The sequence below is a fragment of the Homo sapiens genome, chromosome 1 (genome assembly GCF_000001405.40).
Source record: "Homo sapiens chromosome 1, GRCh38.p14 Primary Assembly".
Classification (NCBI taxonomy): domain Eukaryota; kingdom Metazoa; phylum Chordata; class Mammalia; order Primates; family Hominidae; genus Homo; species Homo sapiens.
The window spans coordinates 11,785,670-11,807,105 of record NC_000001.11 but is presented as its reverse complement, the minus strand read 5'-3'; the positions used below and the strand labels follow the sequence as shown (position 1 = coordinate 11,807,105).

The window sequence follows — 21,436 nt, the reverse complement described above, 5'->3', positions numbered from 1 at the left end:
GCCTTTTTTAGTGGTTAGGAGTGGAAGGAGGCAGAAGTATTTACTGAAATCAGTGGCTAGCTTCTAAATCATCTGGAGCCATTATCAAATAGGAACCAGCCCTCAAAAAAAACCTTTCAGGGGTGAGGGACCATGTGGGTGAGGATCTACAGCCATCAGCTGAGCTCTTCATTTCCACTGATAGTCTCCAAATAACCACCCTCCTCTTCAGGACACCTCAAAGATGTCCAACGCCAGCTGAAAAGGGGGGTAAAAATGCAGGTTCCATTTGACAGTGTGACGTATCTGAAATCAGAAAGGACTTGTCAACTCTGGGAACACAACTCAAGTTTTCCCAGGATGCTTTGCAGGGGGAAGCTGGACTGTCAGTGACCCAGAAAGGGTGAGGGATAGAGTGAGAAAGGACTGGAGAAGCTAAAACAGCAGCATGATAAGCACAAAGTCCTGTGAGGAAGCTCATTCTGAAAACGCTTGTTTCATTCCAAACTCTTTTCAGATGGAAATAAAAGGAAACATGGGTGGGATTTACTGGAGCTGGCCTGGATTCTCCCTCAGATTCCAGGAGGGGTTATGAGAAAAGACCCCAGACTTAGGCACGTGAAGCAGGGTAGACGCTTCGAGAGCCCTGGCTGCGGTCCCCAGGCCCCACCCGCTGCCACCTGCGGGCCCAGATTGGCCCGGCCCCACCCCCGGCAACGCCTCTCTCAGTCCCTTAGCAACCGCCCCCTCCCCAGGCCGACTCCGCCGGCTTCTTACCAGCTCCTCGGGGGTGCGGGTCTCACGCTCACCGCAGCAGCAGCACCACCTGCAGCAGCAGCACAGAGACCCCCTGCACCCCGCCATCTTCCTCCTTTACTGCCACTCTGGACCCCTCTACCAACCCCCTCCCAGCCAGGATCTGCGCCTCACGTGACTGGCCCCGGGACGGTCACGTGGCCCTCTCGAGCTCTGGGACTGAGACCAGGAGTGGCTGCAGACGGGTGGGGCGAGGACTCGCGTCACATGACGATAAAGGCACGGCCTCCAACGAGACCTGTGGGCACGGCCATGTTGGGGGCGGGGCTTCCGGTCACCCGCGCCGGTGGTTTCCGCCCTGTAGGCCCGCCTCTCCAGCAACCTGACACCTGCGCCGCGCCCCTTCACTGCGTTCCCCGCCCCTGCAGCGGCCACAGTGGTGCGGCCGGCGGCCGAGCGTTCTGAGTCACCCGGGACTGGAGGGTGAGTGACGGCGAGGCCGGGGTCGCCGGGAGGGAGATCCTGGAGCCGGCAAACAACCTCCCGGGGGCAAGGACGTGCTTGTGGGCGGGGAGCGCTGGAGGCCGGCCTGCCTCTCTTCTTGGGGGGGGCTGCCGCCTCCCTTGCGCACCCTTCGCGGGATTAGTGTAACTCCCAATGGCTACCACTTCCAGCGACCGCCAACCCTCAAGCGAAGACTGACTTTGGCTCCCTGCCTGGACGGAGGGGCCCCTGAGCCAGGGGTGACGATCCCGCCCCTCTGACCGGCCCAGGCCCGTGTCCTCGCCCCCATCGGTGACTCAGTGACCTGGTGACTGGATTCTCGGCCACCTGGGCGCCGAGACGGCTTCCGGCTCCTGCCTTTTAAACCTGCCTCCCCGGCGATCACCTGGAGAAGAGCGCTGGGCCCGGGGCACTGCGGTCCCTGGCGCCCACTGCGTCCCGCTGCGCACGGGGGTCCGCCGGGACCTTTCTGGGAGTCGTAGGCTTAGTATCCCAGTGCTTGGCGCAGACTAGTTGTTCAGTAAGTGGCAGAGGCTTATTTTGAGAGAGTGGCAGCACCTGGCCCTTTGGCGCTCAGTGAATGTTGGCTATCACCGTGTGCCAAACTCTGGGGATACCCCAGGCAGGACACCGGTCCTGTCTCAGGGAACTGGGGAAAGAGAAAGGAGACAGGCCTTTTCACCCACAGTTACAACCCAGGGTGCTATGGGAGTCCAGCTGATAACGGATAAATCGTGGGAGTTGGCTTACAAATATGGCACATGCGTGGCATATACTAGGAATGCAATAAGTCTTTGAAAATCAGAGGGTTTACAGGTGGTTCAGCTTCCTCCTACTCTAGGTTCTGTTCCAGCAAGCAATTAACGAGGTGCGCCCTTAAACGCTGGAGGAAAGCCAACTGGCTGCTCTTGCTGTTACTCCTCCCCCCCGCCCCCGTTCCTCACTCCCCACAGCCATCCCCACTGAGAATCTGGAGTTTGAGGTCAGAATGAAAGAGAGCAGCCCTAGAGGGAGAAAGCTTTGGCCCAGGGTTCTTAGTCTGGAATCAACTCCTTGTCTTTGGATGTATCCCCGTGTAGTCTGTGCACCTGTGTGTGTATTTCAGGGGAAGGGAGCAGTGCATTTAATCAGATTGTCAAAAGAGTCTAAGACCCCAAATGGTTAGGTACACAGGGTTAGTGGTGGACAGTCTGAAAGAAATGAACCTCACCTGGGCTTTCCTCTGTTGTGCCATGTCACCACACACCCATTCACTACTGTGTGTTTGCCCATTGCTGTGCAAGTGTTTTGTTTGTTTTTAAGTGTTTGTCTTATTTTCTTAACCAGACTGCCAGATGACCCTATGCCCTCTGTTGGCCTGTCTGTGCCCTGGTGGCTCTGATTACTTGTTTCTGTTTTTTGTTTTTGTTTTTTTTTTTGAGATGGAGTTTTGCTTTTGTCGCCCAGGCTGGAGTGCTATGGCACAATCTTGGTTCACTGCAACCTCTGCCTTCCGGGTTCAAGCGATTCTCCTGCCTCAGCCTCCAGAGTAGCTGGGATTACAGGCGCCCGCCACCAAACCTGGCTAATTTTTATATTTTTAGTAGAGTCGGGATTTCACCATGTTGGCCAGGCTGGTCTCAAACTCCTGGCCTCAGGTGATCCACCCACCTCGGCCTCCCAAAGTGCTGGGATTACAGGTGTGTTTTTTGTTTTTTTAAGAGATGGAGTCTCGCTATGTTGCCCAGGCTGGCCTTGAACTCCTGGGCTCAGGCAATCCTTCTGCCTCAGCCTTCCCAGTAGCTGGGTCACTGTGATGATTTGAATTGAATTCTGTGATGTGTAAGAAGAGCAGCCTGCAAGGCAAGCACAGATGGGGCAGCTTTTGTTCTGAGAAATTCGTGCCCTTACTGAACTTGGGTCTGGCTATTTTTGGAACATGGCCAGCATCAAGTTCTAACCCACAACACGGTCTTTTTGGAGTAGCATGAATTCAGGAGAAATCTGGCTGCATAGTCAAGCCCTCACCCCTTCCATCCTGTGCACGAACTGTTTCAAGTAACAGATGTTCCAGGCAGAGCCAGCCAGAGTGAGCTGTTCCTTCTCTGGAGGGTGATCTGGTATCCCTGAACGCCTGTTGGCCTCATCTCCACCAACCCCTGCAGTCTCTGCCCCTGAGTCCCCCTCCTTCCATCCGCCTCCCCTTACTAGAGCCTCAGCCCTCCCTCCTCGCCTGGAAGCCTTGCCCCCGCCCCCTTGTGCTGGCTGGAGCTCAAGCCTCTTCCTTTGTCGCAGCTCCGCCCAGTTGAACACACCCGCTGGGGAAGGTGCCTCTGTTCCCTCCCCACGCACTCTGGGCCTGAGCTGACAGAGATGGACCATCGAAAAGCCAGGGTCCTCCCAGCTGGGCACTACTGCCCCTCGCTAGGAATATGGGCCTCGCAGGTCGGCAGCGTGAGGTCCTCTGTGCCACCTTCCATCAGGTAGCTGTCACCGAGGAGCATGTTGCAGTGCCGGGTGGGGGCTGCCTTGCATGCAAGGAGCCTGGCAGCAGCGGAGGGCAAGGCTTTGAGTGAGGCGGCCCGGACAGCCATAGCTGAGGAGCATGGAGCCACTGGGAGGGGGCAGTGTCACCTTTTTTGGCCTTCTTCCTGTGTGGAAATACAGCGCCTCCGGCTTGAACCTGCCACTCAGGTGTCTTGATGTGTCGGGGGTGTGGCTGCCTGCCCCCTGATGCTCCCTGCCCCACCCTGTGCAGTAGGAACCCAGCCATGGTGAACGAAGCCAGAGGAAACAGCAGCCTCAACCCCTGCTTGGAGGGCAGTGCCAGCAGTGGCAGTGAGAGCTCCAAAGATAGTTCGAGATGTTCCACCCCGGGCCTGGACCCCGAGCGGCATGAGAGACTCCGGGAGAAGATGAGGCGGCGATTGGAATCTGGTGACAAGTGGTTCTCCCTGGAATTCTTCCCTCCTCGAACTGCTGAGGGAGCTGTCAATCTCATCTCAAGGTAAACTCATGCAAGGTTAAGGTGGGAGGCGGGAGTGGTGGTGCCTGGGGAGCAAACTGTCAGCCCTGAGGCTGGGCTGCCCTTTAACCCGGCAGAAAAAAGCAGCCGGAGGGGGCAGGAAGGAGAAGGCAGAGTGGGTCATCTGATCTGCAACTTCTCTGTTGCCTGTAAAAGTCCCTCCACAGTGTCAAGGTATTTTAGACACACTCTTCAATGGGTTAAAAATGTTGATTCTCACACTGTATTCTTTGAGGGAACTTGGGGGCTGGATCACGAGTGCAGTTTAGGAAGTCACAAAGCAGTGAGATTGTTTTCAGCAAGTTAGAAATTTGGATTATGCTTCTTGAACTCTAGAAATGCCAACTGAATTACATTAGCACTTCATGAATTGCAGTTTTTTTTTTAAGTTTATGCCTTTTACTGTATGCACGTCTCACGTGTCACTCCCAAGTTTTTGAAGTTTAAATGCACAAGGATGTTTAAATACACCGTTGATAGCTTGTAACACAAGTACTCGTGCACATCCAGGCTTTTTTTTGAGTCTCGTTTCGGAACTTGGCCTTGGTCTGCATAACTGTAAGCTGCTGCACAGGGCTTGGGGGGTGGCATGAAAGAAAGTGAGTCTGCTGACCCTCTTTCTAACTGTTCCTACAGCGAGGCTGTGCTTGCCACAGTTAGGATTCCCCTAACTCTCAATCATGATGTCTTAACTCACCTGAGATAATAAACAGGCAAGCGCTGTGAAAAGTCTGAAGTGCTGCTCTCACACAAAATGATAGCGCTGTTGTTGTGTCTTACCTCTGTAATAGTGATTATAACGGCACCTCACATATACTGAGTATTCGGTTTGTACACCAGGCACTGTTCTAAGTTCTGTGGAACCAGCTGCCGTCATATTCTCCTAGTGTTATGGTTTTTTGTTGTTGTTGTTGCTTTTTTTTTTTTTTTTTTTTTTTTGAGACAGAGTCTCATTCTGTGGCCCAGGCTGGAGTGCAGTGGTGTGATCTTGGCTCATTGCAACCTCTGCCTCCTGGCTCAAGCAATTCTCCTGCCTCAGCCTCTCAAGTAGCTGGGATTACAGGTGCCCACCACCACACCCAGCTAATTTTTGTATTTTTAGTAGAGATGAGGTTTCACTATGTTGGCCAGGCGGTCTGGAACTCCTGACCTCAAGTGATCCACTCACTTCAGCCTCCTGAAGTGCTGGGATTACAGGCGTGAGCCACCACGCCCAGCATCCTAGTGTTATTATGAAGTGGGTACTACTATCTGCCGTGTCTTATAAATAAGGAAACAGAACTCACAGAGATTAAGTAATGTACCCAAGATCACACAGCTATAAGTAGCAAAGCCAGGATATGAACGCTGATTGGTCTGTCTCCAACCTTCATTGATGCTTCTCTAACTCCCGGGCCCCATGGGAAGGCAGTGACGGATGGTATTTCTCCTGGAACCTCTCTTCAGAAACAAACCCCCTACAGGTTTGACCGGATGGCAGCAGGTGGCCCCCTCTACATAGACGTGACCTGGCACCCAGCAGGTGACCCTGGCTCAGACAAGGAGACCTCCTCCATGATGATCGCCAGCACCGCCGTGAACTACTGTGGCCTGGAGACCATCCTGCACATGACCTGCTGCCGTCAGCGCCTGGAGGAGATCACGGGCCATCTGCACAAAGCTAAGCAGCTGGGCCTGAAGAACATCATGGCGCTGCGGGGAGGTGTGGAGCCAGCACTCCCCTACACTCTGGGTTCTGGCTTTCCCGGAGGCCACTTGGTAGCCTGAACTTGGTTCCTGAAATGGTCCTTTACTTCTTCCTGGGCCCCACGCTGAGGATCCGCAGGATCCCATCCCCGCCAGTAGTGTCAGTAGGCATTGTGGGTAGTGAGTCATCCTGGGCACCACACACAGGCAGCCACCTCTTCCACCTCTTGACCTCGACATAGGAGTTCCGTCAGGAATGCAGTCGCGGCCTGATAACCCTCTGCCTTGCCTACACCACTGCATCGATTGCTGGCTGCACCCAGCACTTGGCCCAATCACAGAGTAACAGAGTATCCAGGAGTGAGAATAGCCGGTCAGGCCTCTGGTGCCCGCTGTTGTCAGGCCACCTAAGAGTGGGAAGAGGGAGCCTGATGGGTGGGATCCTATGGCCTCGTGCTCCCTACCACAAGACCCCTTCACTTGAGATGAGTAGAAAATTCTCCCAGGAGGCAGGAGCCCCAAGGCCGTGGGATGGGAGAGGGTGGCAGGCATGCCCAGGTAGAAGTAGGGAAGGGCTCTCCAATCCTCCAGGCACGGTGAGAAGCAGCGGTGGTCTCCTATTCTCCACCGCCAGCACAGGGTCAGCATGCAGTGAATATTGAACTGGTGGGCTGCTTTTTTCCCTCCTGCTGTCTTACCAAGTGCTAGAAAGAGACGAACCAAACCTAAATAATATGAAGTTTCTGCCTTCCAGGGACTCGCAGTCCTGGGTGTCGGGGCTAGGTAGAGGGAACAGAAAGGGTCTCTGGAGGTTGGGTGAGACCCAGTGACTATGACCTCCACCAACCCTGCAGACCCAATAGGTGACCAGTGGGAAGAGGAGGAGGGAGGCTTCAACTACGCAGTGGACCTGGTGAAGCACATCCGAAGTGAGTTTGGTGACTACTTTGACATCTGTGTGGCAGGTGAGTGGCTGGATCATCCTGGTGGCGGGGATGGAGCTAGGGAGGCTGAGATGCCCAGAGAGCCTGTCGGTGTTCGGTTCAGGACACAGTGATCAGGGGCACTCATGGGTCCATGCTGGATGAAGGACATGCAGAGGTGAACTGCACCATGTCCTTGCTCCTTTTGTATCACCCACTCCCCTCCTGGGCCTGCCACCATCGACCCCTAGCTTTTTGTTCCTCTGCCTGGCTGTGCCCTTAGCCTGCTTGGCCTTATTCTTTTCTTTAAAACGAAAGAGGGGTCTGGGCGCGGTGGCTCACACCTGTAACCCCAACACTTTGGGAGGCCGAGGCAGGCAGATCACCTGAGGTCAGGAGTTTGAGACCTGCCTGGCCAACATAGCGAAACCCCGTCTCTACTAAAAATACAAAAATTAGCCAGGTGTGGTGGTGCACGGCTGTAGTCCCAGCTACTCAGGAGGCTGAGCCAGGAGAATCTCTTGGACCCAAGAGGCGGAGGTTGCAGTGAGCCGAGATGGTGCCGCTGCAGTCCAGCCTCAGTGGCAGAGCAAGACTCCATCTCAAAAAAAAAAAAAAAACAACACCCCACAAAAGAGGGATATTTACTAACAGGATTCCAGAGGGCAGGGAACCCAAGATCAGGAGATGGCCTCAGACCTCACAAGGCACTGGAAGAGGTCAAAAAGCAAGGCCCTCCCTCATTCCCTCTGGGGCCACAGGGTCCCCCATCTCCGCTTCCCACTGCACATCTGTGCTTCATCTGGGAGACCTGATACCCATGCTTTTCCACACACCTGGCCTGCTCCTGAGTGTGCAGAGTGTCAGTTCCAGCCAGTTCCCCAGGCTAATGGACAGGCCTCCGTTCCAAATTCCCAGGAAAGAGAATCACCATTGGCCACAGCCACAAGACCAGGTTCCCCCAACAGAAATGGGTGGGTTGGACTTCTCTCCCACCCTTGAAGCTGAAGGCTGGCATTGAGCCCTCAGCGTCTCAGACAGCGCTCAGGTATGGCAAGACAGTGTGCACCAGGGACAGGAAGTCCCGGGATTGGCACATTTTCTGGGATGACAGTTTTTTTGCCAATATTCTGGGAGAAATCCTACCATTTTTATATTAAACATGGCTATGTTATGGAGTAGCATCTAAAGTGATATGAACTAAAAAAAAAAGGCCAGGTGCGGTGGCTGAAGCCTATAATCCCAGCACTTTGGGAGGCCAAGGCGGGTGGATCATGAGATCAGGAGTTTGAGACCATCCTGTCCAACATAGTGAAACCCCGTCTCTACTAAAAATACAAAAATTAGCCGGGCATGGTGGCGCGTGCCTGTAGTCCCAGCTACTTGGTAGGCTGAGGCAGGAGAATCGCTTGAACCCAGGAGGCGGAGCTTGCAGTGAGCCGAGATCGCACCAATGCACTGTAGCCTGGGCAACAGAGCCAGACTCCGTCTCAAAAAAAACAAAACAAAAAACCCAAAAAACAAACCACGTGGCTTCAAGAAAATTACATGTTGTGAGTAACTTTGGCCTTGTCCCTAACCCCCGATGGACATGTCCATTCTGTCAACAGGGGTGTTTAGGTGCTAAGTCTGGGAAGCACTGATTAGGAGTCAGAGAACAGACATTTCCAACTGTTAAATTGTCATCGCTTGTATCAGCCATTATATAGTCAGTTACTGGGGGAATATGCACCCGTGATGGGCGTTAGGTGATAATGATTGGAAACTAGTGAAGCTGTGAGCTCACAGTTGCTGAATGGTTTCTTACTTTGCTTATCAAGTGGGTAATGAAGATGAGTGGATTAGAAAACACCAACCTGTTGGGCATGGTAGCTCATGCCTGTAATCCCAGAGCTTTGGGAGACTGAGGCAGGAGATCAAGACCAGCCTGGGCAACACAGTGAGACCGTGTCTCTACAAAAAATAAAAACATTTTAAAAAAGAAAGCCCTCAGCTGTTCATGATAGAAAAATAGAGTAAATAGCAAAATCTATACGTAATCAAATGCTAGATTTGTTCGGTGATATTTAGGTATTGTAGCTATACTTTTCAGCTATTAAAAAGCCTTGTTGTTTCTGAAATTCCTACTGGGAAAATAGCTTTGTTATTGCAAGTGTGAAGCCCCATTGCTTTATCCCCCACTCCCTTACCCCTTGAAACAATAGTTTTTATATTCATTTTTTGATGACTCTGGGTTTCTTAAGAACGGAACTGCCTTATCAGAGCAAAGCAGCTTGGCCTTCCGCCTGGCTCAGAGTCCTGCCCTGGGCTTGGGCTGATGAAACCAGCACTCCATGTAGTTTCATGAAGGCCTATGGTCATCCTGCTTGCCTGACCGAGCAAGGCGGCTAGTAAGTTTAGTCATTGAGGAAAGGGGTCAGAGAGTTCACAGAGCCAGTAAGGAGCCTATGGGACATCTGATCCCACCTCCTAAGCAATTCTGGAATCTTGTCTTCAGCATCCACTGCCCCTGTGTTTTCAGACTCCAGGAGCTCATTGTTTTGTGAGTGGCTTATAGTACTCTAGCCAGCTCTCTGAACCGGATGCTGGTTCTGCCATTAGAAACAACACAGAATATGACTAATAAAGAACTTCACTAGGGGGCTGGGTACAGTGGCTCATGCCTGTAATCTCAGCACTTTGGGAGGCCAAGGTGGGAGGATTGCTTGAGCCCAGAAGTTCCAGACAAACCTGGACAAGATAGCAAGACCCCATCTCTAAAAAATAAATAATTAATTAAAAAAATTTTTTTTAATTAGCCAGATGTGGTGGCTTGCATCTGTAGTCCAAGCTACTCAGGAGACTGAAGTGGGAGATCACTTGTGCCCGGGAGTTCAAGGCTACAGTGAGCCATGATTGTATCACTGCACTCTAGCCTGGGTGACAGAGCAAGACCCTGTCTCTGAAACAAAACAAAACAAACTCACCTATGGTGGATCCTTTTTCCCCAGGACAGACCTTTGGACATTTGAAAGGAGTTTCTGTATTCTTTTCATTCTTTTTTTTTTTTTTTTTTTTGAGACGGAGTTTCGCTCTCGTTGCCCAGGCTAGAGTGCAATGGTACGATCTCGGCTCACTGCAACCTCTGTCTCGTGGGTTCAAGCAATTTTCCTGACTCAGCCTCCTGAGTAGCTATTACAGGCATACACCACCACACCTGGCTAATTTTTGTATTTTTGGTAGAGACGGGGTTTTACCATGTTGGCCAGGCTGGTCTCGAACTCCTGACCTCAGGTCATCCTCCTGCCTTGGCCTCCCAAAGTGCTGGGATTACAGACATGAGCCACCGCACCCTGCCATCCATTATTTTCTTTGAAGAAAACATCACTTTCTTCAGTTCTTCCTTGTGTAACTTGGTTTTTAGCTTTTCACTATCTTGGACCCCTGAGTAATTTCAGTGTTACATTAAAAACAATGTTTAATCCGGTGCCTAGAGAAAAGTCAAGCTTACTACCCCAGATGCTGCCCAGCCAGTGCTAACTGTAGCATTTTCTCTTTTCTATGGCCACCAAGTGCAGGCCTGATTTGCTTGGCTGCTCAAGGCAGGACAGTGTGGGAGTTTGGAGCAATCCACCCCCACTCTTGGAACTGGGCTCTGAGCCACCTCCCCTGAGAGTCATCTCTGGGGTCAGAAGCATATCAGTCATGAGCCCAGCCACTCACTGTTTTAGTTCAGGCTGTGCTGTGCTGTTGGAAGGTGCAAGATCAGAGCCCCCAAAGCAGAGGACTCTCTCTGCCCAGTCCCTGTGGTCTCTTCATCCCTCGCCTTGAACAGGTGGAGGCCAGCCTCTCCTGACTGTCATCCCTATTGGCAGGTTACCCCAAAGGCCACCCCGAAGCAGGGAGCTTTGAGGCTGACCTGAAGCACTTGAAGGAGAAGGTGTCTGCGGGAGCCGATTTCATCATCACGCAGCTTTTCTTTGAGGCTGACACATTCTTCCGCTTTGTGAAGGCATGCACCGACATGGGCATCACTTGCCCCATCGTCCCCGGGATCTTTCCCATCCAGGTGAGGGGCCCAGGAGAGCCCATAAGCTCCCTCCACCCCACTCTCACCGCACCGTCCTCGCACAGGCTGGGGGCTCTGGGTGGAGTGCTGAGTTCGCTGAGTTCTTCCCAGATCTCCTCTCAGGTCCAGAACTTGCACAGCGTTGCTTGGCCACCCCATTTTGGTTACCTCTAATTTTCCCCCCAAAACCCAGCAACAGTGTCTGTTGAGGGGTTTGTTGTACTTTGGCCAACAAGCATCACCAAAAGGGATTCTAATTCTCATTACAAATCCTGCTTAAATCAGTGTTTCCCAAAGGTGGCTGTCATCAGAACCACTTGATAAGCTTTTTCAAAAAGTGGATCTCCAGGTCCCACCCCTGGAGGTTCTCACTCAGTAAATCTGAGGGAGGTCCTCGGAATGTGTGTTTTACTTCTTGAGCTTGGCAGGTGATTCGGATGATCAGTGCAGCATGGGAACAGCTGGGTTAGATGACACCATGTTACCAACAGACACATCTAGGGCTAAAAGGCTGGCTCAACCCAAGGCTGGAATGCTTAGGGCAGCTGCTCTACTCTGTAAAAAGTGGGAAAGCTGGGCATAGTGGCACGTGCCTGTAGTCCCGGCTACTTGAGAAGCTGAGGCAGGAGGATGGCTTGAGCCCTGGCGTTTGAGAGCAGTGAGACTCAGTCTCTAAAAACAGAAAAAAGAGGAGAAAACGGCAGGCCAAGCCCAGGTGTGCTCCTAGAATATGATCGGACTTTCGTGGGTCCCTCTGCCTGACACTGTGGTTGGCATGGATGATGGAAGGGGGAGAAGTATTTAGGGTGGGAGACGGGCTGGCCAGCAGCCGCCACAGCCCCTCATGTCTTGGACAGGGCTACCACTCCCTTCGGCAGCTTGTGAAGCTGTCCAAGCTGGAGGTGCCACAGGAGATCAAGGACGTGATTGAGCCAATCAAAGACAACGATGCTGCCATCCGCAACTATGGCATCGAGCTGGCCGTGAGCCTGTGCCAGGAGCTTCTGGCCAGTGGCTTGGTGCCAGGCCTCCACTTCTACACCCTCAACCGCGAGATGGCTACCACAGAGGTGCTGAAGCGCCTGGGGATGTGGACTGAGGACCCCAGGTGAGGGCAGTGGCCCAGAGATCCCCAGAGGAGGGTCCAAGAGCAGCCCCGGCTGCAGTGCTGGCTCCCCACGGTGGTACAGATGGATGTCTGTGCCATGGCTAGCTGGGCACATCGAAGGCTCCAGTCTCAGAGGGCATCAGATGGAAGAACTCAGCCTCAGGGGTGCTCCCCTGCTTCCGGCTCCCTCTAGCCAATCCCTTGTCTCAATTCTCTGTCCCCATCCTCACCCAGGCGTCCCCTACCCTGGGCTCTCAGCGCCCACCCCAAGCGCCGAGAGGAAGATGTACGTCCCATCTTCTGGGCCTCCAGACCAAAGAGTTACATCTACCGTACCCAGGAGTGGGACGAGTTCCCTAACGGCCGCTGGTGAGGGCCTGCAGACCTTCCTTGCAAATACATCTTTGTTCTTGGGAGCGGGAGGGCAGAAGAAGTTTGCATGCTTGTGGTTGACCTGGGAGGAGTCAGGGGCAGAATTTACAGGAATGGCCTCCTGGGCATGTGGTGGCACTGCCCTCTGTCAGGAGTGTGCCCTGACCTCTGGGCACCCCTCTGCCAGGGGCAATTCCTCTTCCCCTGCCTTTGGGGAGCTGAAGGACTACTACCTCTTCTACCTGAAGAGCAAGTCCCCCAAGGAGGAGCTGCTGAAGATGTGGGGGGAGGAGCTGACCAGTGAAGAAAGTGTCTTTGAAGTCTTCGTTCTTTACCTCTCGGGAGAACCAAACCGGAATGGTCACAAAGTGAGTGATGCTGGAGTGGGGACCCTGGTTCATCCCCTGCCCCTGGCCTGACCCCAGCTGCAGGCCAGGCTGCGGGGCTGTGACTTCCCCATCCTGTGCCCTCCCCTCCATGCTGTGGACATGGCAAAGGGAGAAGGGTAAGTTGGGAGACCTCCACCTGGAAGGGCTTAGGGAGGCAAAGACAGGCTGGGTCTTTGTTGGGGGCCGTGAGAGGGACTCAGGGTGCCAAACCTGATGGTCGCCCCAGCCAGCTCACCGTCTCTCCCAGGTGACTTGCCTGCCCTGGAACGATGAGCCCCTGGCGGCTGAGACCAGCCTGCTGAAGGAGGAGCTGCTGCGGGTGAACCGCCAGGGCATCCTCACCATCAACTCACAGCCCAACATCAACGGGAAGCCGTCCTCCGACCCCATCGTGGGCTGGGGCCCCAGCGGGGGCTATGTCTTCCAGAAGGTGTGGTAGGGAGGCACGGGGTGCCCCCCTCTCTTGACCGGCACCCGTGGGTTCCCCAGAGCTTAGGGCAGAGCAGCCTGCCTCTCCTGGGCTCTTAAATTTTGAATGAGCATGGATTGGAGCGGATGGGAGCTCATGCTTTAAGTCAGATAGACCTGGCTGGGCACGGAACCCGGCCAGCACTTTGGGAGGCCAAGGCGGGTGGATCACTTGAGCCCAGGAGTTCGAGACCAGCCTGGGCAACATGGTGAAACCCATTCTCTACAAAAAATACAAAAATGACCGAGGCATGGTGGTGTACACCTGTAGTCCCAGGTACTTAGGGGGCTGGGGTGAGAGGATCGCTTGAGTCCGAGAGGTTGAGCCTCCAGTAAGCCATATTTGTGCCTCTGCACTCCAGCCTGGCCCACAAAGTGAGACCCTGTCTCAAAAAAAAAAAAAAAAAAAAAAAAAAAAGATTGGCTGGGCTTGGTGGCTCATGCCTGTAATCCCAGCACTTTAGGAGGCCAAGGTGGGCAGATCACAAGGTCAGGAGTTCGAGACCAGCCTGACAAACATGATGAAACCCCATCTCTACTAAAAATACAACAATTAGCCGGGTGTGGTGGCGGGCACCTGTAGTTGCAGCTACTTGGGAGGCTGAGGCAGGAGAATCGCTTGAACCCGGGAGACGGAGGTTGCAGTGAGCTGAGATCATGCCACTGCACTCCAGCCTGGGCAACAGAGCAAGACTCCATCTCAAAAAAAAAAAAAAAAAGATAGAAATCAGACCTATGGAGGCAGGTCACTCGACCTCTCTGAGCCTGGTTTTCTCGTCTGTAAAATGGGATGTAGCTTGTGTTCTGGGCATGAAACCTAACAAAGCATGTAACGTGCTTGGCACATGGTAAGAGCAGGAAGCACTCCCTGAAAGGCAGCTGCTGTTACTATCCTGAGTTGACACCTTTCTCCCAGGGCTGCTGGAGTTAACATTATGTTCTGATCTAAGGCCCACAGGCCCTGGAGCAGAAAGACCTGAGTTTAAGGACCAGCTCTACTGTTTACTGTCAGAGTAGCCAACGTGCTCAACTTCCCTGAACCCACTTTCCTCACGTGGGGCTCACTGTGCCCAGCCTCCCGTATTATCAGCATTCTAGCAAATGAGTTTGAGTAAACCCAGCTTAATCCCTGATAGGCACTGGTTCTAGAGGAGATGTCAATGTCATTGTCAGCTTGCACTGGGGAGGATGGAATGTGTGGGGCCTCTCTCCCATGACTCGGCCTGTCAAACCAGTTGCTGCTGTTCAGAAATGGCTTCTTCGTGGAGTCTTCCCTGACTGATTGGGAGAGGGGTGGCTGATAGCCCTCAGACCTGTCCAGACTGAGAAACTCACGTCCCCACTCCCCTCACCCTTTGCTTATGGACGTGCCAACGCCACAGTTCATTATTCCGCCCACATGGCTGCCAGTAGTCCTGATACCTTAGGTGTCTGCGAAAGGGCGTCTGGCAGGGCTGGGGTTGGTGACAGGCACCTGTCTCTCCCACAGGCCTACTTAGAGTTTTTCACTTCCCGCGAGACAGCGGAAGCACTTCTGCAAGTGCTGAAGAAGTACGAGCTCCGGGTTAATTACCACCTTGTCAATGTGAAGGTAGGCCAGGCCCCAGGGTTCCCACAGAGTACCAGGCCCTTCGTTGAGCAAACACCCAGCACCTAGCCTGGGCTAGGCATTGTGCAAGACAGAGAGATACAGGCAGAACTGGGGCCCTGCTCTTAAGGAGCTCCCAGCCTAGAGTGAGGGAGGCAGATCAATGTGTGACCACCAGCCAGTGTAAGTGGGAAAATCAAGTTCAGGAGAGGATGCTGTCGGGTCCAGAGGAGGGATATCTCACCTGGGAGGCCAGGGAAGGCTTCTCAGAGGGTCATCTGTGGGAATCACTGAGGACAAAGAGGAGTTGGCCAACAGGAGAGAAGGGTATTCCTGGGACAGGGCAGAGGACAGGCAGAGGCAGTGAGCTGCACCATCTGGGGAAACGGGGAACATGAGCAGGAGGAGGCGGGAGTGTTAAGCAGGGGCCAGGCCCGCAGAGATCATGGTTGTCCTGCTGGAATTTGAGTTTTCCCTCAATGCAAGGGAAGCCTTTCTCCAGCAGTGGGGTGGCTTGGTTCCTGCTTTATTTTAGGCAAATCACAGTGGATAGTCATACGGATGAGAGAGATTGGGGACGGCTAGAGCCGGGGAGGCCAGTGAAGAGACCCCTGGAGTGACCCAAGCCAAACACACTCCTGGAGGTGGGCTAGACAAGAGGGAATGGATCAGAGAGTGAGCAGGGGGTGCTCAAGGAGGAGAGGGGAAGTGGCCAGGACGCCTCTAGGTTCAGGCTTGTGTGGGGAGAGATATCATTCACAGATGCAGGCAGAGGAGGCCAGGAGCGGAGGCACAGGGAGAGGGGAGTGGAGGCGCAGGGAGAGTGGAGGCCGGGAGTGGAGGCGCAGGCAGAGGGTATTGAGCCCAGACAGCCTCATTGAGTCAAGGCTGTCCAGGCAGTGGGACTCCAGTTGTTCTTGGCCCAGGTCTTACCCCCACCCCACATCCCCTCAGGGTGAAAACATCACCAATGCCCCTGAACTGCAGCCGAATGCTGTCACTTGGGGCATCTTCCCTGGGCGAGAGATCATCCAGCCCACCGTAGTGGATCCCGTCAGCTTCATGTTCTGGAAGGTAAAGGAGCCGGGGGCAAGCTTGCCCCGCCCACCTGGAAAACCGTGGGGAGGGATTGGGACCAAGTCCCAAGCGTGTGCTGAAGGCCACACTGGACCCAGCCTTCAGGGCACACCCAGCTCTGACTCACCCATGTCACTGCTGATGCAGGGTGTTTATTTCTGGGCAGGGGTGGGAAGTGATACTGGCAGTGGGCCTTGTTCTATTCCGGGAAATGTCCTGTTGAGCAGAGCCCTTGGAGAGCCCTGTTAATCTTGCCTCTGTGTGTGTGTGCATGTGTGCGTGTGTGCGGGGGTATGTGTGTGTAGGACGAGGCCTTTGCCCTGTGGATTGAGCGGTGGGGAAAGCTGTATGAGGAGGAGTCCCCGTCCCGCACCATCATCCAGTACATCCACGACAACTACTTCCTGGTCAACCTGGTGGACAATGACTTCCCACTGGACAACTGCCTCTGGCAGGTGGTGGAAGACACATTGGAGCTTCTCAACAGGCCCACCCAGAATGCGAGAGAAACGGAGGCTCCATGACCCTGCGTCCTGACGCCCTGCGTTGGAGCCACTCCTGTCCCGCCTTCCTCCTCCACAGTGCTGCTTCTCTTGGGAACTCCACTCTCCTTCGTGTCTCTCCCACCCCGGCCTCCACTCCCCCACCTGACAATGGCAGCTAGACTGGAGTGAGGCTTCCAGGCTCTTCCTGGACCTGAGTCGGCCCCACATGGGAACCTAGTACTCTCTGCTCTAGCCAGGAGTCTGTGCTCTTTTGGTGGGGAGCACTTGCGTCCTGCAGAGGACCACAGTGGGTGGCACCTCCTGAGAAGGCGAGGAGAGTGGTTGTTGCCAACTAAGCCCTCGAACCAAGGCAGCCTCCAGAGCCAGCCTGGGACTCCCAGTGAACTTACACTTGGAGCCCGTGCAGTACAGGCAAAACACGCAAGGGCATCAGGCACTGGTGGCATCGTAGAAGAGATGTGGCAAAGTGCTGTACCCTTCCACCTCCTAGAGGTGGGCAGCTGGGCCCCACCTACTTGTGACTGAAGGGGCACACCACTGCCCTGCCTGCCCACTTAGCCGTCCATGGCACCAGCCCCCTGGATGGGCATTGGGCTGACACCTACCATGCTGCTTTTTGGCACAGTTGTCTATTCTGAGCCTTGAGAGAAAAAGTGCCCCTTAAGGGTTGAAGGCAGTCTGAACCCTTGTGCTTGGTGGGGCTCGTGGCCTTCCCCTTTTGCCTGGCTGTGGAGGCCTGATGCTGCCCCGTTCCCTGTCAGAGGCTAAGATGAGATTTGCCAGCACAGGGGCCCCAGATCTGCCTGGGCCTGTGCAGCAGCCCAGCTTCCTGGTGTATTTTTCAGGTAGGCCCTTGTCCTGCCAGCTGCCTTCCTCATCCCCTCGTCCTGTCCCAGAGGTTATCTGCCTGGCCTGGCTCCCCACGAGTCACCTGCAAGCCCCAGGGCCTGGGGGCAGTGACTGGCAGGTGCAGATGGGCTGTTTCGTGTAGTGGAAGAGCAGCCTGATGGCCAAGGGGGTGGACGCAATTGTGGGATGTCCTCTTTACTCCCTTCCTGGCCTCACTGGCTGGGGCAGAGGGGCAGCCGCTAGGAGAGACTGAAAGCAGCAGCTAGGACTGAGGAGTGGGTTTTATTGTCCTTCAGAGCTCTTCAAGCTGTCCCCTCTGTCATCACTCCCTGGATGTGTGGGGCATGGTTCCTTCCCTGGGAAGGCTAAGTTCAGTTCTGTTTTTTATTCTATGAGAACAAGTCACAGCTGCAGCTGGGCCCCATGCTCTGCCCCAAGCCCCCAACCCCGCGGTGCTCTGGCGGCTTCCTGTCCACTCTCGGGGCCCTTGGGGCCTGGCTTGCTCCAGGGTCTTGGGCTACTGGCAGCTCCTCTCCTTGGGCTCCTGGCTGCCAGGCGTTGGTGCCACTTCTTAAAGGCCTGGAACCAGGGAGGAGAGGAAATGCTATTGTTGTGGGCTTTCTCCGGGGTCTGTGCTGTGCCTGCTAGAGCAACCCCTGTACCCAGCTCCTTTTGTCCCCAGGGCCCCTCCCTCTGCCCCAAGCAGCCAGCCAGTCTTGCCTAGGCCAAATGCACAAGCTCAGAATAGATCTGATGGTGAGCTGGGAAGCTGTACTCAGAGCAGAGCAAATGAGGGAGGGGGCGCTCAGGACCCAGGCCCTCCATGGGCTAGTGTGAGTGGCAGCCATGCCTCATGCCACACCTTCTTCGCAAACTGATGGACCGGGTGGGCCTGGCCTGAGCTGGGGCCACAAATCAAAGCAAGGGCTCCAGCATCCAGCCTGTGTGTTCTGTAATGGAACTGACCCCCTCCCCTGAAAACGAAGGGGCCCCGGGGCTGGCAAGCAGGGAAAGCTCCACGGTGCGTGGCTGTGGCACAGACTTCTGGAAGGCTGGCTGAGTGGAATGCAGGGAAGAGGGCAGTACCTGGGAAAGGACCCACCCATCTTCCTGCTGCTGTAACTGCTGAGCCACTCGCAGTCGCAGGATCCGCTGCCACCACGTCTGCCAGGCCCATCTCAGGTGCCACTCCCTGAGCTTTGGGGACAGTTGGCAGAGAAGGCCTCTTGTGCTCACGCTCCCCCGCAGTCCCCAGCCCTTCTGCCTTTCTCCCCCGACACTGCTGCACCAGAGTGAAAGGGCTATGGCAAGGGGGTGTCATCTGAGGAGTATTAAGAATGCAGATTCCTGGGCCTGTCCCCCAAGGTTTTGGAGTCAGTAGGTCCAAGGGCCATACTTTTGAGAGGGGTTTGGGTTAAGTATGAGGTGAAATGGGAGATGGTCAGTGTGGAGAGGGGTGCACCCACTCACCAGGGTCCGCACCAGCTGCTCTGCCCCTTGGGCATCCACCCAGTGCTGCCATGCCACTGCCAGGCACCTGGCCTGCTGGGAACCCCGCAGCCCGTGAAGCAGTGCCTCGAGGCACCGGCGCTGCAGGTACTTCCTCCTGATGGCCAAGAGCATCGTGACCCTTCAGGGCCAGAAGGAGGGCAGAGCCATGGGCCTGGGCCTGCTTTTCCAGGATCCTGCAGGAACGAGCACTGGCCAGAGAGGGCCCAGCTGTAGCCATGGCTCAGGCAAGCCCCTCAGCCCTTGCCCCCATCCCTCGGACCCACCAAACTGCACACACAGCTCCTCTTACCGTAGCCTCCGTTTATGGGCCTTGCTTTGGGCTTTGCAGGCTCTGGGCTCAGGGCTGGAGTGCGCTCTTGGTCCCTGGTCCCTCGTCCACAGGGGCAGGCCTGGGACCCAGCTACTCTGTCCAGGCCACTGTGGCCAGAGCTGGAAGGCAGGGCAGAGGGAATGTTCCCTGCACCCTGGAAAGGGGAGTTGAGTCACAAGAGGTTAAGGTGGGTCCAGGAAGGCAGCTGCTCTTAGTGCCCGCCTAGGAGTTGAGTACAGTGAGGAGGGTGGAGGAAGGTGCTGAGCTTAGCCTTGTGCCCTGCCCCCATCTCCCCAGGCCTCCAGCCTCTCCCGGCTGCCTGCCGCCCAAAGAGAAATCACAGGGGCGGGGCAGGAATGCAAAGTGTTTTCTCAGAACAGCTGAAACATTCCGAAGAGGGAATGGATGGGGAGAATGGTCAATACACATAAGACCGTGTCCCAAGGAGCTGATTTCCAGGCCCCTGAGGACTGGAGACCGCTTCACCCCTGCACTTCAGACACCGTTTGTCCCCCGGGGCAAGGTCTCCTTACTCTGAGCCCAGGCCGTTCCCCTTGGCTTCCTCCGTCCACCCAGGCTGCACTGCAGTGATGGCGCGGGAGGCACCAGCTCTGTGGCCTGTGTCCAGCAGCTGCGGGTCTGAAGGAATAGCCAGAGAGGAGCACCTGAACCCCATGGGCTTGGACTTCCTGGGGCCCCGCTGGGATTTCTTCGCTGCTCTAGCTGGCAGGACACATCCCGGCCTCTTCCACCCATTCCCCCATGTGGCTGAAGACATTCCAACAATGGGGTGGGCCCATAATAGTTAGCCCTCAGTCAGTTCCCGGAGCACAGCCCTGGGAGGGGGCTATTTCTCTCCCCACTGAAAACATTTCAAAGCTGAGTTACTTGTCTGAGGCCTCATCCCTCGGAAGCCGTCTGACTCCAGAGTCTGAGCCCCCGGCTAGTACCCTATAGAGAGGGGGCTCTCCAAAGGGGCTGCTGGGGCATGTGTGCCTGTGGCAGAAAAGAGGAGACCCTGGAATTCAGCACCCTGGGTGCCATTCCCAGCGTTTAGTTTCTAGAGGCCTCAGTTTCTCCATCAGCTTATGGGATCCTTGTCTTTACTGACAAGAATGGAATAGAAATGTAAAAGTACTCTGAAAAGCAATTGCCCTGTAACTTATCTAGAAAGAAAAGACCCTGAGACTCCAGAATCTGCTGTTGCCATAGCCCCATATGTGTGAATTCTGCAACTAGCCAAGGCTAGTTCCTTTCAATTCCATTTAAAAAACAAAAACCAGCAGGTGTGGTGGCTCATGGCGTAATGGGCCTGCCCAATGCTTTGGGAGGCCAAGGCAGGTAGATCGCTTGAGCCCAGGAGTTTGAGACAAGCCCTGGCAACATAGTGAGATCCCATTTCTACAAAAAAAAAAAAAAAAAAATTAGCCGGGTGTGGTGGCACACGCCTGTAGTCTCAGCTACTCAGGTGGCTGAGGTGGGAGGATCGTTTGAGCCCTGGAGGTTGAGGCTGCAGTGAGCTGTGATCGCACCACTGCACTCTGGCCTGGGCGACAGAGTGAGACACTGTCTGAGAACAAAAAACGACTGAAAAAAAAAATCACCTTAGCTTTTTCTCTTAGAATCTTCTCTAAAACGTATTCTTTGTGGCATTCTGAAATAGGATTCATGATGATGCCTGTTGATCTTAGGGACACTACCTCACCTGCCAGTATCTTTGGGGCTGTGTCCTTCAAGGACATGTCCCCAGACTGCTGTGCAGTGTCATTTTTTGTGTTTGGTTTGGTGGTGGCTTCTTCCCCCTTGCTAGGCTATCAACCTCTTATCACCACTTGTTGGTGTCAGAACTAACTGCTTCTGGTCTGGAGAGGGACTGACCGATGCCTTTGGGTAGAGAGAATTATGAAAGAAATTTTGGTATTTTTCTACTTTATATTTTCTGAGGTTTCTGTAATAAGCATATTTCACTTTTCCAATAAGAAAAAAAAAAACTTGGCCTGGCGCGGTGGCTCACACCTGTAATCCCAGCACTTTGGGAAGTCGAGGTGGGAGGATCACTTGAGTTCAGGAGTTCGAGACCAGCTTGGGCAATATGGTGAAACCCCGTCTCTACTAAAAATACAAAAATTAGCCAGGCGTGGTGGCGTGCACTTGTAGTCCCAGCTACTCAGGAAGCTGAGGCGGGAGAATCACTTGAACCCGGGAGGCAGAGGTTGCAGTGAGCTGAGATCACTCCTCTGCTTCAGCCTGGGCAATTGAGCCAGACTCTGTCTCAAAAATAAACAAAAAAACTTGACAAAAAAATGCTACTGTCCTCGTGTACCTATTCTGATCCTCAACTGCACCGTGAGAAAGCA

The 21,436-nt window shown here is 54.4% G+C and overlaps 3 protein-coding genes across 30 annotated transcripts in view, besides 16 other annotated features; 1 reads left to right on the top strand and 2 right to left on the bottom strand.

Annotated features, from left to right (window-relative positions):
- CLCN6 (chloride voltage-gated channel 6) overlaps positions 1-915 on the bottom strand; it is a 36,940-nt gene extending 36,025 nt beyond the window's left edge. For all 3 annotated transcript variants that reach the window (NR_046428.2, NM_001286.5, NM_001256959.2), the window contains exon 1: positions 757-915. Coding sequence is in view for 2 of the 3 variants with exons in the window: in NM_001286.5 (NP_001277.2) it covers positions 757-843 (87 nt within the window). In the remaining variant the exon portion in view is untranslated. The remainder of the gene's footprint in view (positions 1-756) is intronic.
- Positions 285-1,270: an enhancer, noted in NCBI's record as "H3K27ac hESC enhancer chr1:11865893-11866878 (GRCh37/hg19 assembly coordinates)". NCBI's record gives its function as "activates a minimal SCP1, AML or CMV promoter by ChIP-STARR-seq in naive and primed H9 embryonic stem cells {active_cell/tissue: H9 hESC(naive and primed)}" and the evidence as "EXISTENCE:reporter gene assay evidence [ECO:0000049][PMID:30033119]".
- Positions 368-437: an enhancer, noted in NCBI's record as "active region_177". NCBI's record gives its function as "activates an Ori minimal core promoter by ATAC-STARR-seq in GM12878 lymphoblastoid cells {active_cell/tissue: GM12878}" and the evidence as "EXISTENCE:reporter gene assay evidence [ECO:0000049][PMID:35858748]".
- Positions 618-667: a silencer, noted in NCBI's record as "silent region_274". NCBI's record gives its function as "represses an Ori minimal core promoter by ATAC-STARR-seq in GM12878 lymphoblastoid cells {active_cell/tissue: GM12878}" and the evidence as "EXISTENCE:reporter gene assay evidence [ECO:0000049][PMID:35858748]".
- Positions 888-967: an enhancer, noted in NCBI's record as "active region_176". NCBI's record gives its function as "activates an Ori minimal core promoter by ATAC-STARR-seq in GM12878 lymphoblastoid cells {active_cell/tissue: GM12878}" and the evidence as "EXISTENCE:reporter gene assay evidence [ECO:0000049][PMID:35858748]".
- Positions 978-1,087: an enhancer, noted in NCBI's record as "active region_175". NCBI's record gives its function as "activates an Ori minimal core promoter by ATAC-STARR-seq in GM12878 lymphoblastoid cells {active_cell/tissue: GM12878}" and the evidence as "EXISTENCE:reporter gene assay evidence [ECO:0000049][PMID:35858748]".
- On the top strand, positions 1,142-21,383 carry MTHFR (methylenetetrahydrofolate reductase). 12 transcript variants are annotated; one of them, XM_047421181.1, is made up of 12 exons: positions 1,142-1,218; positions 3,980-4,225; positions 5,707-5,945; positions 6,784-6,894; positions 10,707-10,900; positions 11,758-12,008; positions 12,243-12,377; positions 12,568-12,748; positions 13,017-13,199; positions 14,727-14,828; positions 15,780-15,899; positions 16,358-21,383. In XM_047421181.1, the coding sequence occupies exons 2-12, from the start codon at positions 3,990-3,992 to the stop codon at positions 16,424-16,426; spliced, it is 1,821 nt and encodes a 606-aa protein (XP_047277137.1). In that variant the 5' UTR covers positions 1,142-1,218; positions 3,980-3,989; the 3' UTR covers positions 16,427-21,383. The 12 variants fall into 12 exon arrangements, with proteins under 12 accessions (XP_047277137.1, XP_005263519.1, XP_047277135.1 ...); XM_005263462.5 differs by having other exon boundaries at positions 16,208-21,383; XM_047421179.1 differs by having other exon boundaries at positions 3,977-4,225; positions 16,390-21,383.
- Positions 1,338-1,387: a silencer, noted in NCBI's record as "silent region_273". NCBI's record gives its function as "represses an Ori minimal core promoter by ATAC-STARR-seq in GM12878 lymphoblastoid cells {active_cell/tissue: GM12878}" and the evidence as "EXISTENCE:reporter gene assay evidence [ECO:0000049][PMID:35858748]".
- Positions 1,408-1,457: a silencer, noted in NCBI's record as "silent region_272". NCBI's record gives its function as "represses an Ori minimal core promoter by ATAC-STARR-seq in GM12878 lymphoblastoid cells {active_cell/tissue: GM12878}" and the evidence as "EXISTENCE:reporter gene assay evidence [ECO:0000049][PMID:35858748]".
- Positions 2,567-3,462: an enhancer, noted in NCBI's record as "H3K27ac-H3K4me1 hESC enhancer chr1:11863701-11864596 (GRCh37/hg19 assembly coordinates)". NCBI's record gives its function as "activates a minimal SCP1, AML or CMV promoter by ChIP-STARR-seq in primed H9 embryonic stem cells {active_cell/tissue: H9 hESC(primed)}" and the evidence as "EXISTENCE:reporter gene assay evidence [ECO:0000049][PMID:30033119]".
- Positions 3,212-3,271: an enhancer, noted in NCBI's record as "active region_174". NCBI's record gives its function as "activates an Ori minimal core promoter by ATAC-STARR-seq in GM12878 lymphoblastoid cells {active_cell/tissue: GM12878}" and the evidence as "EXISTENCE:reporter gene assay evidence [ECO:0000049][PMID:35858748]".
- Positions 3,463-4,359: an enhancer, noted in NCBI's record as "H3K27ac-H3K4me1 hESC enhancer chr1:11862804-11863700 (GRCh37/hg19 assembly coordinates)". NCBI's record gives its function as "activates a minimal SCP1, AML or CMV promoter by ChIP-STARR-seq in primed H9 embryonic stem cells {active_cell/tissue: H9 hESC(primed)}" and the evidence as "EXISTENCE:reporter gene assay evidence [ECO:0000049][PMID:30033119]".
- Positions 3,463-4,415: a biological region, named in NCBI's record as "H3K27ac-H3K4me1 hESC enhancer GRCh37_chr1:11862804-11863700".
- Positions 3,572-3,761: an enhancer, noted in NCBI's record as "active region_173". NCBI's record gives its function as "activates an Ori minimal core promoter by ATAC-STARR-seq in GM12878 lymphoblastoid cells {active_cell/tissue: GM12878}" and the evidence as "EXISTENCE:reporter gene assay evidence [ECO:0000049][PMID:35858748]".
- Positions 4,162-4,415: a silencer, noted in NCBI's record as "fragment chr1:11862748-11863001 (GRCh37/hg19 assembly coordinates)". NCBI's record gives its function as "represses an EF-1alpha promoter that drives an FKBP-Casp9 reporter gene in an ReSE screen in phorbol 12-myristate 13-acetate-treated (for megakaryocytic differentiation) K562 erythroleukemia cells {active_cell/tissue: K562(+PMA)}" and the evidence as "EXISTENCE:reporter gene assay evidence [ECO:0000049][PMID:32094911]".
- Positions 5,939-6,537: an enhancer, noted in NCBI's record as "H3K4me1 hESC enhancer chr1:11860626-11861224 (GRCh37/hg19 assembly coordinates)". NCBI's record gives its function as "activates a minimal SCP1, AML or CMV promoter by ChIP-STARR-seq in primed H9 embryonic stem cells {active_cell/tissue: H9 hESC(primed)}" and the evidence as "EXISTENCE:reporter gene assay evidence [ECO:0000049][PMID:30033119]".
- Positions 15,298-15,810: a silencer, noted in NCBI's record as "fragment chr1:11851353-11851865 (GRCh37/hg19 assembly coordinates)". NCBI's record gives its function as "represses an EF-1alpha promoter that drives an FKBP-Casp9 reporter gene in an ReSE screen in HepG2 liver carcinoma cells {active_cell/tissue: HepG2}" and the evidence as "EXISTENCE:reporter gene assay evidence [ECO:0000049][PMID:32094911]".
- Positions 17,521-21,436, bottom strand: part of C1orf167 (chromosome 1 open reading frame 167) — a 27,393-nt gene continuing 23,477 nt past the window's right edge. For 10 of the 15 annotated variants that reach the window (XM_024446507.2, XM_024446506.2, XM_024446512.2 and 7 more), the window contains 4 exons: positions 19,613-19,718; positions 19,059-19,233; positions 18,728-18,957; positions 17,521-18,454 (listed from right to left, as the gene is read on the bottom strand). In XM_024446507.2, the coding sequence (XP_024302275.1) occupies positions 18,063-18,454; positions 18,728-18,957; positions 19,059-19,233; positions 19,613-19,718 (903 nt within the window). In that variant the 3' untranslated portion in view covers positions 17,521-18,062. The remainder of the gene's footprint in view (positions 18,455-18,727; positions 18,958-19,058; positions 19,234-19,612; positions 19,719-21,436) is intronic. The other 5 variants (XM_011541272.4, NM_001010881.2, XM_011541276.4 and 2 more) reach the window with 4 other exon arrangements.
- Positions 18,575-19,382: an enhancer, noted in NCBI's record as "H3K27ac-H3K4me1 hESC enhancer chr1:11847781-11848588 (GRCh37/hg19 assembly coordinates)". NCBI's record gives its function as "activates a minimal SCP1, AML or CMV promoter by ChIP-STARR-seq in primed H9 embryonic stem cells {active_cell/tissue: H9 hESC(primed)}" and the evidence as "EXISTENCE:reporter gene assay evidence [ECO:0000049][PMID:30033119]".